General features: G+C 43.6%; 4 annotated features.

The window, feature by feature from the left end:
* Window positions 5232-5744: an enhancer, noted in NCBI's record as "H3K4me1 hESC enhancer chr11:121297351-121297863 (GRCh37/hg19 assembly coordinates)". NCBI's record gives its function as "activates a minimal SCP1, AML or CMV promoter by ChIP-STARR-seq in naive H9 embryonic stem cells {active_cell/tissue: H9 hESC(naive)}" and the evidence as "EXISTENCE:reporter gene assay evidence [ECO:0000049][PMID:30033119]".
* Window positions 5907-6006: a silencer, noted in NCBI's record as "silent region_4002". NCBI's record gives its function as "represses an Ori minimal core promoter by ATAC-STARR-seq in GM12878 lymphoblastoid cells {active_cell/tissue: GM12878}" and the evidence as "EXISTENCE:reporter gene assay evidence [ECO:0000049][PMID:35858748]".
* Window positions 8881-9010: an enhancer, noted in NCBI's record as "active region_5647". NCBI's record gives its function as "activates an Ori minimal core promoter by ATAC-STARR-seq in GM12878 lymphoblastoid cells {active_cell/tissue: GM12878}" and the evidence as "EXISTENCE:reporter gene assay evidence [ECO:0000049][PMID:35858748]".
* Window positions 9081-9150: an enhancer, noted in NCBI's record as "active region_5648". NCBI's record gives its function as "activates an Ori minimal core promoter by ATAC-STARR-seq in GM12878 lymphoblastoid cells {active_cell/tissue: GM12878}" and the evidence as "EXISTENCE:reporter gene assay evidence [ECO:0000049][PMID:35858748]".

The following is a 16207-nucleotide window of genomic DNA, read 5'->3' on the forward strand; positions in this document are numbered from 1 at the left end:
TGATTGTATCAGCTTTGGGATGTAAATATTTAAAGAACACCAACTGTATCCACTTCATCTCAATTGCCAGTATTTAGTGTAGATTCTACAAAGATGCGTACACAAAATTACCTGATTTTGCTGACTTTATACAGGTCAGTAAGCTCAACTGAAAAGTTAGAAAAAACACAACCTCTTACTTCAATAAAATAAATTACGGTAGCCAACAGTGCTTCACAGATTTGTCATATGAGTTAGCAGTAAAAAATATCTCTCCCTGATGACTAAGCCATGGACTCAAATCCCCCTGTCGGTCACCTCTTTTCTAATTATCATTAAGCATGACTTAGCTGGATGAACCACGGCTCAGGAGGAAGCATTAAAGCTCAGACATTGACCATGACAACTAGGGTGGAAATGTCTCTAAAATTGGGCAGTGGCCTGAATATATTGTAGGTCTTCTTTGAGAATTATCAGAGGCAAGAGGAATTGAAGCAGCACCTAAAAGGAAATGAAGGGTTAGCCTGCAGCCTACTAAGGATGGTAGCAAGGAAAAATGACACTCAAGAAGAGCAAATAGTTCTACCAACAACCAGCCAATATCAATTTTCCAGGTCTCAGAGGCTCAGAGAAACATGGACCAAGACTGTATGAGCAAAGAAACCATATCTTAGGCGTGGCAAAGAGAAAATTAGGCAAAGATCAAAGGGAAGGAAGAGATTTTTGACTCAGAGAGAGGGAAAGGGGAGAGAGAAGTTTTGGTGGGTGTCTTATCTGTCTGTATATGTCCATGGTACCTAGCATATTGCTATAAATGTAGTCAAGGGTCAATACATGCTGTTTGGTTGAATGGAATGGATAAGATTTTTGGTAGTTGAGAAACTTTGAAAGAATGATGGATGCTTTCCCATTTTTCCTAAATTGTGTCCCTGATAGCAGAATTTGCCACCTGCAGATATTATATCTCAAGCTGCTTAGGGGTGAAATGGCTTACGTAAGAGATACTTGATATTTTTTGGCTTAGGCAGTTTTTATTAATATGTACATACACTTATGTCATTATTCTTGATCTTTTTTTTTTTCAAACAAAGTAGTGTGTGGGTTACATGCTATTAATCTTGATTTAAGAAGTCATTATTTTCCAATAATAAGTTTTTTTAACGGTGCTAAAATATACATAATATAAAGTTTACCATCTTAACCCCTTTTAAGTGTAGAGTTCAGCAGTGTTAAGTATATTCACATTGTGCAGTCTCCAAAATGTTTTCATCTTGCAAAACTGAAACTATACCCGTTAAACAACAACTCTATTCCTTCTGCCTCCAGCCTCTGGCAACCACCATACTACTTTCTGTCTCTATGGACTTAGTTACATTTGATACCTCATATAAGTGAAATCATATAGTATTTGTTCTTTCTGTGACTGGCTTATTTCACTTAGCATAATGTCGTCAAGATTCATTCATGTTGCAGCATGTGACAGGATTTCCTTTCTTTTTTTAGAGACAGGGTCTTGCTCGGTTGCTCAGGCTGGGTGCAGTGGCATGATCATAGGTCACTTCAGTTTCCAAATCTTGTGCTCAAGCAATGCTCCTGCCTCAGCTTCCTGAGTAGCTATGGCTACAAGCACGTGCCACCATGCCTGACTAATTTTTTAAAATTTTATAGAGACAGGGACTCACTATGTTGCCCAGGCTGGTCTCGAACTCTTGGCTTCAAGCAATCTGCCTGCCTCGACCTTCCAAAGTGTTGGGATTACAGGCATGAGCCACCATGCCTGACCAGATTTCCTTTCTTTTCAAGGCTGAATAATATTTCTCCGTTTGTATATAGCACATTTTGTTCATCCATTCTTCCATCCATGGACAGCTGAGTGGCTTCCACCTATTAGCTATTTTGAATAATGCTACTATGAACATGGGTGTACTAATCTCTCTTCAAGGCTATGCTTTCAATTCTTTTGGAATATATACTCGGAGGTGGGATTGCTGGATTATATGGTAATCTTATTTTTTAATTTTTTGAAGAACCTCCATATCGTTTTCCATAACTGCTGCACCATTTTACATTCCCATCAAGATTGCACAAAGGTTCCAATTTTTCCACATCCTCACCAACACTTATTTTCTATTTTTCTTGACAGTAGACATCCTAATAGTGTGAGATATTGATCTATTTCTTATGCTTCACTGCAAACTAGCCAAGGTTGAAACTCTCTTCATTTAATAGGAACAAGGAATGCAAATGGGACTCGTTAGTGGGTCCTCAATAAAGGTAGAAACATTCCAGTGGCTCCCCATCTCACCCACAGTCAAATCCAAATTTCTTATAATGACCTTCTAAGGCCCTATAAGACCTGGCCCCCACTACCTCTCTGGCCTCACCTCCCACTGTGCACCCCTCCATCACTCCACTCTACCCACACAGGCCTCCCTGCTGCTCCAGGAACAAAACAAGCAGGGCCTTTGCACTCATAGTTCCTTTGCCTAGGATGCCCCCAGATATGCAGGTGGTTTACTTCCTCACCTCCTTCAGCTTTCCAATCAAATGTCACCTTATCAGAGAGGCTTTGACTAACCACCATATATACAACAGCAAACCACCTCCTACACATTCACACACACTGTCTCTTAATTCTTTACTCCTCACATCGCTTTATTCATAGCACTTATCACACATGACAAGTCTGGCACATGATTGGTATCCAACATATATCTGTTGAATGAATGAATCAATGAATCAATCAACCAATCAGTCAAAGATAAAGCACACATTCCCTTTTGTTCTCAATCTTGCTTTTCTCTCAGTTCATCCCCAGAATTCCCCCTGGATAGAAGAAATTGGCCACTGAAAGACATACAAACCTGTTCTGCAAAAAGTTACACACCCCTGCCCCTGATGGTTCTTCTCCTGAGAACCTTCATCTGAGTCAATGGCACGATGATCTGGAAGCATGGAGTCAACTCTTATCTCTCCCCCTGATGCCCTACTCTCAGTGCATCAGCAAGTCCTACAGTGTCAACCTCCAGAACATACATGACGGTCCCCTTCTCCAGACTATTCTCTCAGCCACTATTCCCTCTCATTTAGTCTCTTAACTGGTGTCCTCTCTTCTATTCTTGACCCATTCCTACCCAATTTGCACACAGTTACCAGAGAGGGATTTTAATATTTGTCCCCTCCAAATCTCATGTTGAGATGTAATCCCCAATGTTGGAGGTGGGGCCTGACGGTAGGTGTTCGGGTCATGGGAGCAGATCCCTCATGGTTTGGTGCTGTCCTCACTATAGTGAGTGAGTGCTTGTGAGATCTGGTTGTTTAAAAGTGTGTGGCGTCTGGGCATGGTGGCTCATGCCTGTAATCCCAGCATTTTGGGAGGCTGAGGTAGGAAGATCACTTGAAACCAGGAGTTCAGGACCAGACTGTGCAACATGGCGAGACCTTGTCTCTATAAAAAAATCAAGAAAATTAGCTGGGCACGGTGGCATCCACCTGTGATCCTAGCTACTCGGGAGGCTGAGCGGGGGGAGTTGCTTGAGCCGGGAGGTCAAGGTTGCAGTGAGCCAAGACCATGGCACTGCACTTCAGCCCGGGTGACAGAGGGAGACACAGTCTCAAAAAAAAAAAAAAAAAAATGTACGTGGCACCTTGTCCATACCTTCTCTCTTGCTCCTGTTCTTACTGTATGACATGCCTGCTACCCCTTCACCTTCCACCATGGTTGGAAGCTTCCTGAAGCCTTTGCTAGAAGCAGATGCTGGCACCATGTTTCTTGTACTGTTTGCAGAACTGTGAGCCAATTAAGTCTCTTTTCTTTATGAATTTACCAAGCCTCAGATACTTCTTTATAGCAACACAAAAATGGCCTAATACAACTACCCTGCCTAAAAGCACTTCAATATCTACCCAAATTTCCTATTATAGGCCCCAGAATTCTGTGGGCTGCAGTTCTGTTCACCTCTTCACATTCATCCGTTGTCAGTACATTAGGCCATTTAATTGGTCAAGAGGCTTAACTGGCTCATGGTTCTGCAGGCTGTACAGGAAGCATGGTGCTGGCACCTGCTCAGCTTCTAGGGAGGCCTCAGGAAGCTTCCAATCACGGCAGAAGGCAAAGGGGGAGCAGGCAGGTCACATGGCAAAAGCAGGAACAAGTGAGAGAGAAGAGACAGAGAATTGGAATGGGTGAGGTGCCACACACTTTTTTTTTTTTTTTGAGACAGAGTCTCGCTCTGTTGCCGGGCTGGAGTGCAGTGGCGCAATCTCGGCTAATTGCAACCTCTTGAACCGCCTCCTGGGTTCAAGAGATTCTCCTGCCTAAGCCTCCCAAGTAGCTGGGACAACAGGCGCACGCCACCAAGCCCAGCTAATTTTTGTATTTTTAGTAGAGACTGGGTTTCACCATGTGAGGGTTTCACCATGTTGGCCAGGACGGTCTCGATCTCTTGACCTCATGATTCACCCACCTCGGACTCCCAAAGTGTTGGGATTACAGGCGTGAGCCACCAAGCCCCGCCACACACACTTTTCAACAATCAGATCTCCTGTGAACTCAGAGCTAGAGCTCACTCATCACCAAGAGGATGGCCCAAGCCATTCATGCAGTATCTGCCCCCAGGATCCAAACACCTCCCAGCAGGCCCCACCTCCCACAGTGGAGATTACATCTCAACAGGAGATCTGGGTGGGGACAAATATTCAAACTATATCAGTCACTTTCCCCAGCTTCCTTTGCTCCAGCCCCACTGGGTTTTGTTTAACTTCTTAGGCGCTTAATTCCTTCTGGCCTGAACCTTTCCTACTTGCTTCCTCTTGCCCATTTGTGTGGCTGGTTCCTAAAGACCATTCTTTAGATGCCGACCCAAATGTCACCTTCTTAGAGAGGCATTGCACAGTCCCATCTGTCCAAAGGAGGTTGCTCATGTTTTTCCTTCTTCGTGTGGGTGTGTGTACCAAAATCTCTTTAATTCCGTCATTGGACATTTTTTTTGTTTTACTAATATTCAGACATTGTAAACAATGCTTCAAGCAATATCTTTGTACCTCTATCTCTGATATAATTATTTCCTTAGGAGAAAGTCCTAGAAATGGAATTGCAAGGTATAAGATTATTAACGTTCTTAAGGCTTTAAGATGTTGTCTTTGGGTAGGATCTGTTACATCTTGCGTCCTTACAAATTCTCCTAAGCTTCAGTGTTCCTCGCAGGACAAGCCGTCCAGGAGGCCGCGCGGTCAGCACTCCTGCCTGGTCTGTGGCCTTCAGGCGATTCAGGGCCAGCTGCAGGGCCTGGAATTCAAACATTCTCTTGGCAACACAGAGGCAGTCTGGAATACCCTTTTCTTGAAAGATATTTTCACCAGAAGTCCAAATGGCAGCAAGCCCTCTGCCTTTATCTGAGAATCCGTTCTGGTTCAAGGGGTAGTTGAGTGCTAAACTTCTGGGAAATTGTGTCTATCCCGGATTCGCGCTTCACCATGGAATCCAGTCCCTTCTCCAGGGCTTCACCCACGCTCCCTGTGATCTCTGAGTCGCCCTCCTTTTCCACAATTTCATGTGTAATCTCATTTTCTGTTTCTGCTACAATGTCAAATTCTGGGGAAAAAAAAGGACCTGCATCGTGCAAACTCCTATTGTGTCCGAGCCTGCTCCTGTGTCAATCTCCAGTGTGGCATCCATGCTCCTTACGGCAGTAATGTGCCTGTGACATCGGGTGCAGGTTTGGGACCCTTAACATCCACAAACCCTGCAGAGATGGGACCACACTAGAGAGCCACGCATTCTCCTGTTTCTGGAGGAGGCTTCTCTGAAGGCAGCTCACATGAGTAAAAGTCACTTTTTCAGGTCGCAGTCCCGCGCAAGGGGCGGAAGGGGCGGCGGCGCCTGCAAACGCCGCGGGAGGGCGAGCGCGCGGTCGCAGAGCTCCAAGACCAGGTCCCGGCCCCGCAGCGCCCGGCCCAGCCCGGCCCGCCCACCTCGCGCGGAAACTTCGAGCTGCGCAGCCGCCGCGCCGGCGCCTCCCCAGCAAAGCTCCGCTAAGTGCGGCCGGCGGGGGTGCGGGGCGTTGGGCACCTGACCATTTTCTATCATACCACCCTGTTTGTTTCCTCAGGAACTTCACAATTAGTAATTAGTTTATTTGTCACCTCACTTGCTTATTGTCTATACCTACAATAAACTGTAGCTCCCTAAGGTGGTGGTGACATCTGATTAGTTTATTATTGCATCCCAGTGCCCTGACATATTATTCATATTTACATATTTACATATGAATAAATATGCATATTTATTATTGTATCCCAGTGCCCTGACATGTTATTCATATTTACGTATTTTCATATTTACATATGAATAATGTATAGAACGGATATATGTATACAATAATGTATGTATGTATAGAATGAATGAAAACGATGGATGGATGGACTGATGAATGGATGGATGAAGAGTGATGTGAGGTATTCACATCTGACTCTTCTTGGCACTACCCTACTGTGAGAAGAGCTTCTCTTGAATCTGATGAGAATTGGTGAAAACAAAGGGCAGGCAAAACTGTACTAGCTCCTGGACTCTTTCCCACAGCTAGGGAGCCCTGGAATGTCTCCCCACAGAGCCCACCCATGGCCCATCCATTCTCTACAGAGCCTTGGGGTTTGTTTCTCCACAGTAGTTCAGCCCTCCTCGCTGATCAGAGCAGAAAACCAAGGTTCAGAAAAGAGACCTGATAAGCTTGTAAACACACAGTTCATTTGTAGGAGAGATAATTATACTCAACAGTCATTAACTTTAGCCACCCCTAAGTCACTTTGAGTTGACCTCCATGTATTTGGCTGTCACTCTGTGGATGGCCTCATCCAGGCTCGTGAGGATCAAGGCAACATTACGAGGCTCACCATTTTAGTCTACATCTCATCCCACCACTTATCAGACTATGCCTGGTGGCAGAAGCCTGTGGGGTCGGGGTGTGGAGAGGCTTGCCAGGGCTTGCTCATCATCAGCCGGTTATTGGGAATCCGCTGGTGGAAGTGTCAATCCAGAAGGGAAAGCTGAGTGGAGAATGGACCCTGAGTCAGCAACATGGAGCGCAGGGTCTGGACTTGGAGTAGACCTTAGAGATAACCCACCCCCTATTTCCTCTCAGAACCAAAGGAGTTATACATGGGGGACTTTGGAACGGAGAAGTGGGTCAACGTTGACAACGAAGAGTAAGGACAGCGAAGATGTGAAAATGAGGAGCTAGGTCAAGAAGCAGCGTGTTCATGGGCCAAACCTTTCACTTGGGCCCTGAGCAATGCCTCTCTGGGTCATGGGGACATCTTAGAAAACTTATCAGGCTAGAGAAATTGCACCTTCTTTCCTAGTACCCTTTGTCACTACCACATCCAGCAGTGGCTGCTCTTTTATCCCTTCCTTTAATCTTCTCCTCATCCTCTAAGCAAACCCTGCTCTTCAGAGAGTAACGGTGTCAATGATGTATGTCTTAGCACGACTGGACCCTCCCAAACTCTAATTGATGGGTAGTGTCTGTCTAGAGAGCCCTGTGTTGAGAGTTCTGAGGCACGCAGTGGGCTGAGTGGGACACTCTATTCCGACCAATTTATGGTGTCAATCACGGGTAGGGGAAGGATCAGTGAAGGGATGTATGGCCAGGTATTTATCATGCCTGGCAGAGTGAATGTATTTAAGTTCATTGTTACTTACGCCAAGATTATTTGCAATTTCAACCTTATTTCTTTTTCTTTTTCTTTTTTTTTTGAGACAAGGTCTCACTCTGTCATCCAGGCTAGAGTGCAGTGGCATGATTTTGGTTCACTGCAACCTTTGCCTCCCAGGATCAAGCAATCCTCCCACCTCAAGTAGCTGGGACCACAGGCTACACCCAGCTGATTTTTGTACTTTTTTTTTTTTTTTGGTAGAGACAGGGCTTTGCCATGTTGCCCACGGTGGTCTCGACCTCCTGGGCTCAAGTCATCCACCTGCCTCAGCCTCCCAAAGTGTTGAGATTATAGGTGTGAGCCACTGTGCCTGGCCTCAATCTTATTTCTAATTTGGCATAAATGGCTTTTGTCTTCTGGAAAAGAATTTCAGATGTCAACAACAGATGAAAAATATATTTCATGGACTCAGTAGCTTCTGCAATCATATCACTAAGGAAACAAATACTTTTAAAAAGATCTACAAGCATCCTTAAGTGTTTTTGAATACATATCTTATCACAAGAGCTCTAAAGAATTTATCATTTTTTCACGTAAGAAAATCAAGCTTTAAAAAAATTAACTTTTCCCCCATACCGCTAGTATCAGCAGAGCTCAAATTTCACTTCAGTTCTGGCAATTTGCAGGGCCCAGGATTTTTTATTACACCAGTAAATAAGTTCCTCTTTTGTCTTTGCTTAAAGCAGTCCTGGGGATGAGGGTAGAGGGAAGGAATGGCTACACAGAGACAGAAGACATCCCTGCCCAAGAACACACTCACATCCCAAGACTCAGGAAACTTTAAATCCATATATGAACGAGAGAAGGTGAACCTAACTGGAACTGTATCCACAGCTCTTGTTTATATAATGAAGAAATACATAATTAGAGTTGGGAGTGATTAATCAAGGATAACTTCCTGGAGGGAATAATTTCAGATTAGAGTTTTGAAAGATGCCAGGAGGGAGAGGATTCTGAGAATAGAAAAATGAGAATCTCATTCATAATTTCATTAGTTCTAGCTTTTCAGATGGGCCATGTATGCAAATGTGTTTGAATGTGAGAAGCTGTATAAAGAAATCACCTTTTATTTCTTTGGAAATTTCTGTTATGTTCTGTTTAAATGGCTGAAACTCTAGGGGGGCCTGCTAAGATTATTAAAAAGAAATTGGTCATTAAATTTAAACTGTCTAGTAGATGAATTTAAAAAGCCAGCTGTCAGAAAACCCCCTCACTTAAAAATAAGGGGCATCATGGAGTTATCACAGAGGAATTATGAATAATATGGCTGCGGTCCCTCTACTTTCTGTCTTTTTGGTTTTTACCCCAATGAAGAGAAAAGGAAATTAGGGAACTGAGAGTATGAAAGAATAAACATGGCTGATGTAATTACATAATCTGCGTCAAGAGACCTTCTTTTTCTGTCTCACAGGTGTGTCTCTCGTTACTAGCTGGGGAGGTAAGGAGGGCAAGTTGGGGAGGTGGTACAGTTGAGTGACCCTTTGATTTAAAAAAATCTAAATTGCAATGTCTGTGTAGATTGTCTTCATCATCTAGTGGTCCACCATGAAGTGCAAAGAGTCCTGAGAGGATGACCCCTGACCCTTGACCCCTGTCCTCAATGCCCACCATGGCATCAAACCCACAGTGTTCCTTTCCCCTACTAAATGTACACCAAAACACCATGGCTTTTTCTTTTTTTTTTCTGAGACGGAGTCTCGCTTTGTCACCCAGGCTGGAGTGCAGTGGCGCGATCTCAGCTCACTGCAACCTCTGCCTCCCAGGGTCAAGCAATTCTCATGCCTCAGCCTATAGAGCAGCTGGGATTACAGGTGCTCGCCACCACGCCTGGCTAATTTTTGTATTTTTCATAAAGACTGGGTTTCACCATGTTGCCCAGGTTGGTCTCGAACTCCTGGCCTGAAGTGATCCACCTGCCTTGGCCTCCCAAAGTGCTGGGATTACAGACGTGAGCCACCAGGCCCGGCATGAGCCACTGCGCCTGGCCATGGATGTTAAAACAGCCTTCTATTGAGGAGTTTAGAAAAGTATTCTAGCTAGATGGAGTTGGGGGCTGTTTGGGATGGCTGTGCTTCAAGCCTTCCTTCTGGGAAATGTCCTTCCCCCACATCTGCTGATTACTGTGGGCACATGACTCCACTTGACCGACCAGAATACCCCATCCTCCTGGATATAGAACACTGGGGCATGTGACCTCAGCAGAATCCTCTTCAGGGACTGATATGGACTGAATGATGTGGTGGGGAGAGAAGGTTCTCTCTTTTCTCTTTAAGGATAGTATAAGCCAGGGACAATTGGTGATCATCTTTGGGTCATATGGACAAAATCTGAGTGAAGCCAATGGACCCAGGTACCTATAGAACTAAGAGGTGACAAAAAATTAATAGTCCTTATAATTTGAAATCCTAGACTCAGCCAGGCCTGAAGTTAGATCACCTCTAGACCTCTTGGTTATATAAGTCAATACATTTCATTTATCACTTCAGCTGGTTTTAGTCTCTACCCCTTACATCTAAAAGACTAGTGGCTAATATAGAGGGAAGCAGACACAGGTAGAGATAAAGGGTTGTGCCTCTTTTAGATAATTTTCTCCTTTGTACCTTTTACAAAGGGCTGGATCTTACTGCTTATGCTTTCGGAGGGCATCCCTCATAGACATTCCTTTCTTCCTATCTTCTCTCTCATTTTTATTCTCCTTTTAACCTCTTCTCCTTCTGCTTCCCCATCCAATCCCCCTTTCTCTTGGAATCTACCACCTTCCTTGGAGAAATAGTCAAATTTCAGTCTCCCTAAGTTTTTTCTTGTATATGGTAAGTTTCACATTCTCAAGCTCCATGGGGTATCAGTGGCTTGACTCATGTACTCAGTACTGCTGCTCTGCAGCCAGAAGGGGAGAGTTCTGGTGTTAGGGTCCATTGGCTCCCACAGGAAAGGAGGCAGTTTAAGCTTAAGTCCTGAGGATAAGGGAAGGAAGTATAAGGAGAGCAGCATGTCACTCCGGGCCATGGGTGCCTTACTCTCTGTAACCAAACACAGGTCATGAATTCAAGGACTAATTGTCATAAAAACATTTATCTGGTCTAAATAAGAAATTCATATTCCTCTGTTATCATAAATTTGACACTTTGAGAGCACTAATCTTGACTCATTTCGTGAAGAAAGCATTTTTCCTTTCTGAGTTGTCTCTCTAGTGGATATTCATCTCTAAATTGCCAGATAATAAACAGCTCCGGACCTAGACACTTCTTCCTAACCACTTGTTTCCCTGCCTTATGTTGCTGGTGTAGGGTAAAGGTGAGAGGATGGATTAGTAAGCAAAGTTTCAGTTGCTGTATCACTATATTAAAAATATATCTAAGATCTCATTTGGGAGTGTGAGGATTGAAACAGTCAAGAAAACTTGCTCGAGATAGCTTTTGACAGCAAGCTGACCAATGCTTAAAAATCAGGGCTGGATGCGGTGGTTCACACCTGTAATCCCAACACTTTGGGAGGCTGAGGCAGGAGGATTGCTTGAGGCCAGGAGTTTGAGGCCAGCCTTGGCAACATAGTGAGACCCCATCTCCACAAAAAATTTAAAAATTCAGTGAATGTAGGGGCAGGTGCCTGTAGTTCCAGCTACTCTGGAGGCAGAGGCAGGAGGCTCACTTTAGCCCAGGAGTTGGAGGCTACAGTGAGCTATGATCATCACACTGTACTCCAGTCTGGGCAGCAAAGCAAGACCCCATCTCTTAAAGAAAAAATCAGAACTTAAAACAACCTTACATGTGCTTAGGAAGGTTTTTGACTCCAAGAAAAAATTCAGGAAGAATTTAGAAGGGTCTATTTCTATTTAAGAAATCCAAAGGTAGTTTGAAAAGTGACTGAGAATAATTAAAAGATAGGGGGAAAGGAATAAAATTATTTCTAGGTATTCACACTTAACTATTATCTGTATATTAGTTAACATTCATATAGCTGGTAACTATGTGCCAGGTACTGTTCTAAGTACTTTAAAAACATTAACCTATATAGGCCGGGCGCAGTGGCTCTCACCTGTGAGCCCAGCACTTTGGGAGGCCGAGGCGGGTGGATCACCTGAGGTCAGGAGTTTGAGACCAGCCTGGCCAACATGGTGAAACTCCATCTCTACTAAAAATACAAAAAAAAATTAGCCGGCGTGGTGGCGAGAGTCTATAATCCCAGCTACTCAGGAAGCTGAGGCAGGAGAATCGCTTGAAACCAGGAGGCAGAGGTTGCAGTGAGCTAAAATCACACCATTGCACTCCAGCCTGGGCAACAAGAGCAAAACTCCATTTAAATATATATATAAACCCATATAATCCACATGACAACTCTCTGAGATAATTTAAAGTATATCATTATTTTAACTTACTAATAGCAGTGGTATCAAGAGAATGGGAAGACAAGCCACATACTGGAAGCAAATTTTTATAAATGACATATCTGATAAAGAACTGCCATATAAAAATAAAAAGAACATTTAAAATGCAACAATAAGAAAATGAACAACCCAAATACAAAATGGACAAAAGATCTGAGCAGATGCCTCACCAAAGAAGATATACAGTGCACAAATAAGAATGTGAAAAGATGCTCAATATCATGTCATTACAGAATTGCAAATTAAAATTAATAGCAACAACAATAGCTAGTATTTTTCAAATGCCCACAGTACTCATACTTTATGAATCTCATTTAATCTTCACAACACCTGTTAAGAAGTGGGCACTCAATTATCATGATGATTTTATGGATGAGAAACCCAAGACTGGAGAGGTGAAGTAACTTTCCAAAGGCCACGGTTAATGGATGTGAATCCCTATCTGTCTCATCTTAAAGCCTGTGCACTGAATTACTGTACTATAGCCTATTAATATTTAGTCACTTTTAATAATTTACTGTTTTTATACAGTTTTAGTTTTACGTTCTTACACAATTGAGTGAAAAAGTAAGCTTATCTAACACCTATACATATTTAACAAGGTTATTACCCAGGCACTACCGTTCATCTGCAGGGAGCTTGTTCAAATTGGCAGCATAGTACATAGGTCAAATTTAAGAGCTTTGGAAAGTTCTCTTTGTGGCCAGGTGTGGTGGCTCACATGTGTAATCCCAGTCCTTTGGGAGGCTGAGGCGAGCAGATCACTTGACCTCAGGAGTTTGAGACCAGCCTGGCCAACATGATAAAATCCCGTCTCTACTAAGAATACAAAAATCAGCCAGCATGGTGGTGTGTGCCTGTAGTCCCAGCTACTTGAGAGGCTGAGGTGGGAGAATTGCTTGAACCAAGGAGGTGGAAGTTGCAGTGAGCTAAGATTGCACCACTGCACTCCAGCCTGGACGACAGAGTGAGACTCCGACTCAAAAAAAAAAAAATAATAAAAAAACAAAACAAACAAACAAACAAACAAAAACTATTTGCAATAATCTAAACTAATAAAGTTATGGGATAAAATCACAGTCTTGGGGGGCAGTTATTCTGATCTTCGTTTCCATACTGTCAGTTTGACAGATGTTGACTGAATAGCAGAAGTGTTCTGAGATGGCATATGCAATTGGATATTTTAACATGAATTTTAAAAAGCTATGATTTATAAAGTGTGCAAAACTTACATGAGATAATGCAGTATTCTGGGCTAAGAGTGGGGGAAACTCTTACCAACCCGAGCCTGAAGGGACCAGAGGAAGGGGCAGTTACTGACACCCAGAGAGAACAGCTGGATGGAAGAAAACGGCCCCACAGCGGCAGGCCTTCAGTAAAGGGACATAGCTAACCCATAACTACCTGGAAGGCAGGAAAGTAGGGGAATAACTACCCTGCCCTCCTTTCTTGGCCACACTATGATCTCCTCGCAGTGCCTCCAATTGGCCAAAGCCAACTGGAAGCCAAGTGCCAGTCTCCTGAAGCACAGGGCAGGGCAAGAAAGGATGAAGACTGGCTTAAAGGAAAATGGACAATATCCAGGAAACTGATAATGGCCCAAATCAGGGCATGTGCTTTGGTAAAATGGAATTTCTGAGCATGGCAAATTAAAATCCAGCTCCTGGATCTGGGGAGTCTTCACTAAGTGTGGTTACGTAAGTAGTTGGGCAGCCTGACTATTATAATCCTCTCTCAATCTCTCTCTCCATCAATTACATTTAAAGAGGCCTCTGACTCAAATGCACCAGCCCACAGCTTTGGTTCCCTTTGTGTTCTTCCTTACCCAGCTGGCACAACTGCTGAAGTGCGGAGTGCAGAAGAACCCTCTGAGCTGTTGTTGTAGCAAACGGCTTCCTCCTGTTGGAAATTTCACAAACCCACCTGCTCAATAGACATCCTTCCTGAGGTAGGCTTGGAAAGGTTACAAACATAAGCAAAGGACAGAAAACCGGGTTCCCATTTCTGGGCTTGTGCAAAGTACATGTGATTGTTGCATAGACAAAAAGAAGGGATGCTAGAGGGCAGAAAGCTGTTCACATGTTGGCCCAGTTCACAGTTTCCTGTCTTTACCTTTCCTTCAAAAGTTCTTGGGGCTGGTGTTAGGCACAAATGGCCTGTCCCTTTTTCCTGTACTTGCAGGTGATCTCATACGGCTCACCTTGACCATGATGCCCCACTGCAGTGCCTTGCTCAGCTCTGCTCTCTGATAACGCCCTGTGCACTGGCTCTTTCCCTTTGCTCTGTCCCTTTCCCTTTGCTCTGTCTACTTGTCCTGAGTCTCATTTCTCTTATCTGGTTGAAAGAAATGCAAAGAGATAAAAAGAAAAAACATGTCACTTTACTATTACATGTCAATTTTCAATTTACTTGGTTGCTAACAGAGTGATGTAGTTCTCACTGTGTGTTCTGCAGAACCCTAGGGATTGGCAGAGTTAAGCAAGCAGGGCTTTAGAAACCCTGGGCCCCCCACAGCCTCAGTACCATACATCTGCTTTTGTCTGTTTCATACATTGAGGTTCCATGTCAGGTTTTAATTGTAATAAATCTAGTTCTGCTGCTTGAAATTTTCAAGTGGTTGTAAACCACTGGCTAGATCTCCAAGGGTACTTCTCTTTTGTCAGGGGATTAGGGATATCACGATCACAAATCAACTGAGGAACAATGAAGTGATTAAGGGCACAGGCTCTGGAGCTCAACTGCCTGTGTTCATATCTGAGCTCTGCCCTCTACCAGCATTAAGACAAGAGCTTGAGGACCTCCCACACCCCAGCTCAGTGATCTGTGATGTCTTGGGCTACAACTCAGGATTGAGGAGAGGCTCTTGAGCAAGAGCCATATTCTGGGTTCTCACAACACTGCTTTTGAAATAAAGGTTGTCCAGTAAGCCAGTCACATGCACACAAGAAGAAGAGGAGAGGGAGGAGAAATGAGTTCCTCATAGGTGCTAAATATATTAGACATGGTTTTAGTTGATTTAGTCAAAATGACCACGGGGAGAAGACTGTTACACAACTTCAGCCTAACAGTGCTAAGGTTTCCTGCTCCTGTTTCCCATGTCTATAAGATTTGTTCCTTGCATTTTCCTTGGCTAAACCACAGCTTCATATTCCACTATGCTCTATGGTCTGCTGTGATTATGCCTTAATGAGGACAAACCCATTTCCTGATCTCTTTAATGAATATTTGCTTCTTGACCCCCCATGTCCCCTCATTAATCTCCCCTCATATGGCTCCAGACTGCACTGCTAGAGGAACCTGACAACTCTCAGACAAACAGAAGATGCACTAGAATATTTAAAGTTCTTACGGCAGTGGTTTCTGCAGCCTCCTGCTTTCACTGAAATTATAAGTATAAACGGAGCCTTATCTCACCTATGAATGATAAAACAAAAGTAGGGAGGACTCAGATGAAACACAAAGAAGAATGTTCTTGCTGCAGATATTAGAGGCACTGAGACAGGTTACTGAGGAATGCTGCAGACCTCTCTTCCCAGTAATCCTAAAAATAATGGGAAAGGAGTTAGCCAGTTTGGGGTGGCTGAGGTACCTGGAACCAAGAAACAGGGCTAAATGATTTTGGCAATTCCTTTCTGGGACTTACTAGAGCCTAGTGAGCAAGAATATGGACTTTGCAGTCAAATAGACCTGGAAATGAGACCCAGTTCTAGTACTTACTAGCTGTGAAACCTTGGGCACACTACTTAGCCTCTGTACAGAGAGTCACAGTGAGGATTAAATAAGATGAATGGACAAAGTGTTTAGCATAGGATCTGACTCCATGAGAGTGATCAGTAAATATTAGCTTCAGCACTTAGCCTAGGGTTTTATTCACCCATTTTCTTTCAACCCACCATGTTCCATGTCATCTGCACAGACCCATTCTTATGCAACCACTGAGTTGAATTCTTTCTCATCTAGCTCCAAAATGGCAAGTCTCCAAGTCTGAACAAGTTTGGCAATCTCAACTGGTTCTCTTATTAATCAGCTGGGATTGAAACTTCTGACTTAATTCTAAGTAATATAGTTTTCACAGAAATGACCCAGGTCATATTCTGTCATTCAGTCTACCTCATGCAGAACCTGATGAAG

The sequence above is a fragment of the Homo sapiens genome, chromosome 11, assembly GCF_000001405.40.
Source record: "Homo sapiens chromosome 11, GRCh38.p14 Primary Assembly".
Taxonomy (NCBI): Eukaryota; Metazoa; Chordata; class Mammalia; order Primates; family Hominidae; genus Homo; species Homo sapiens.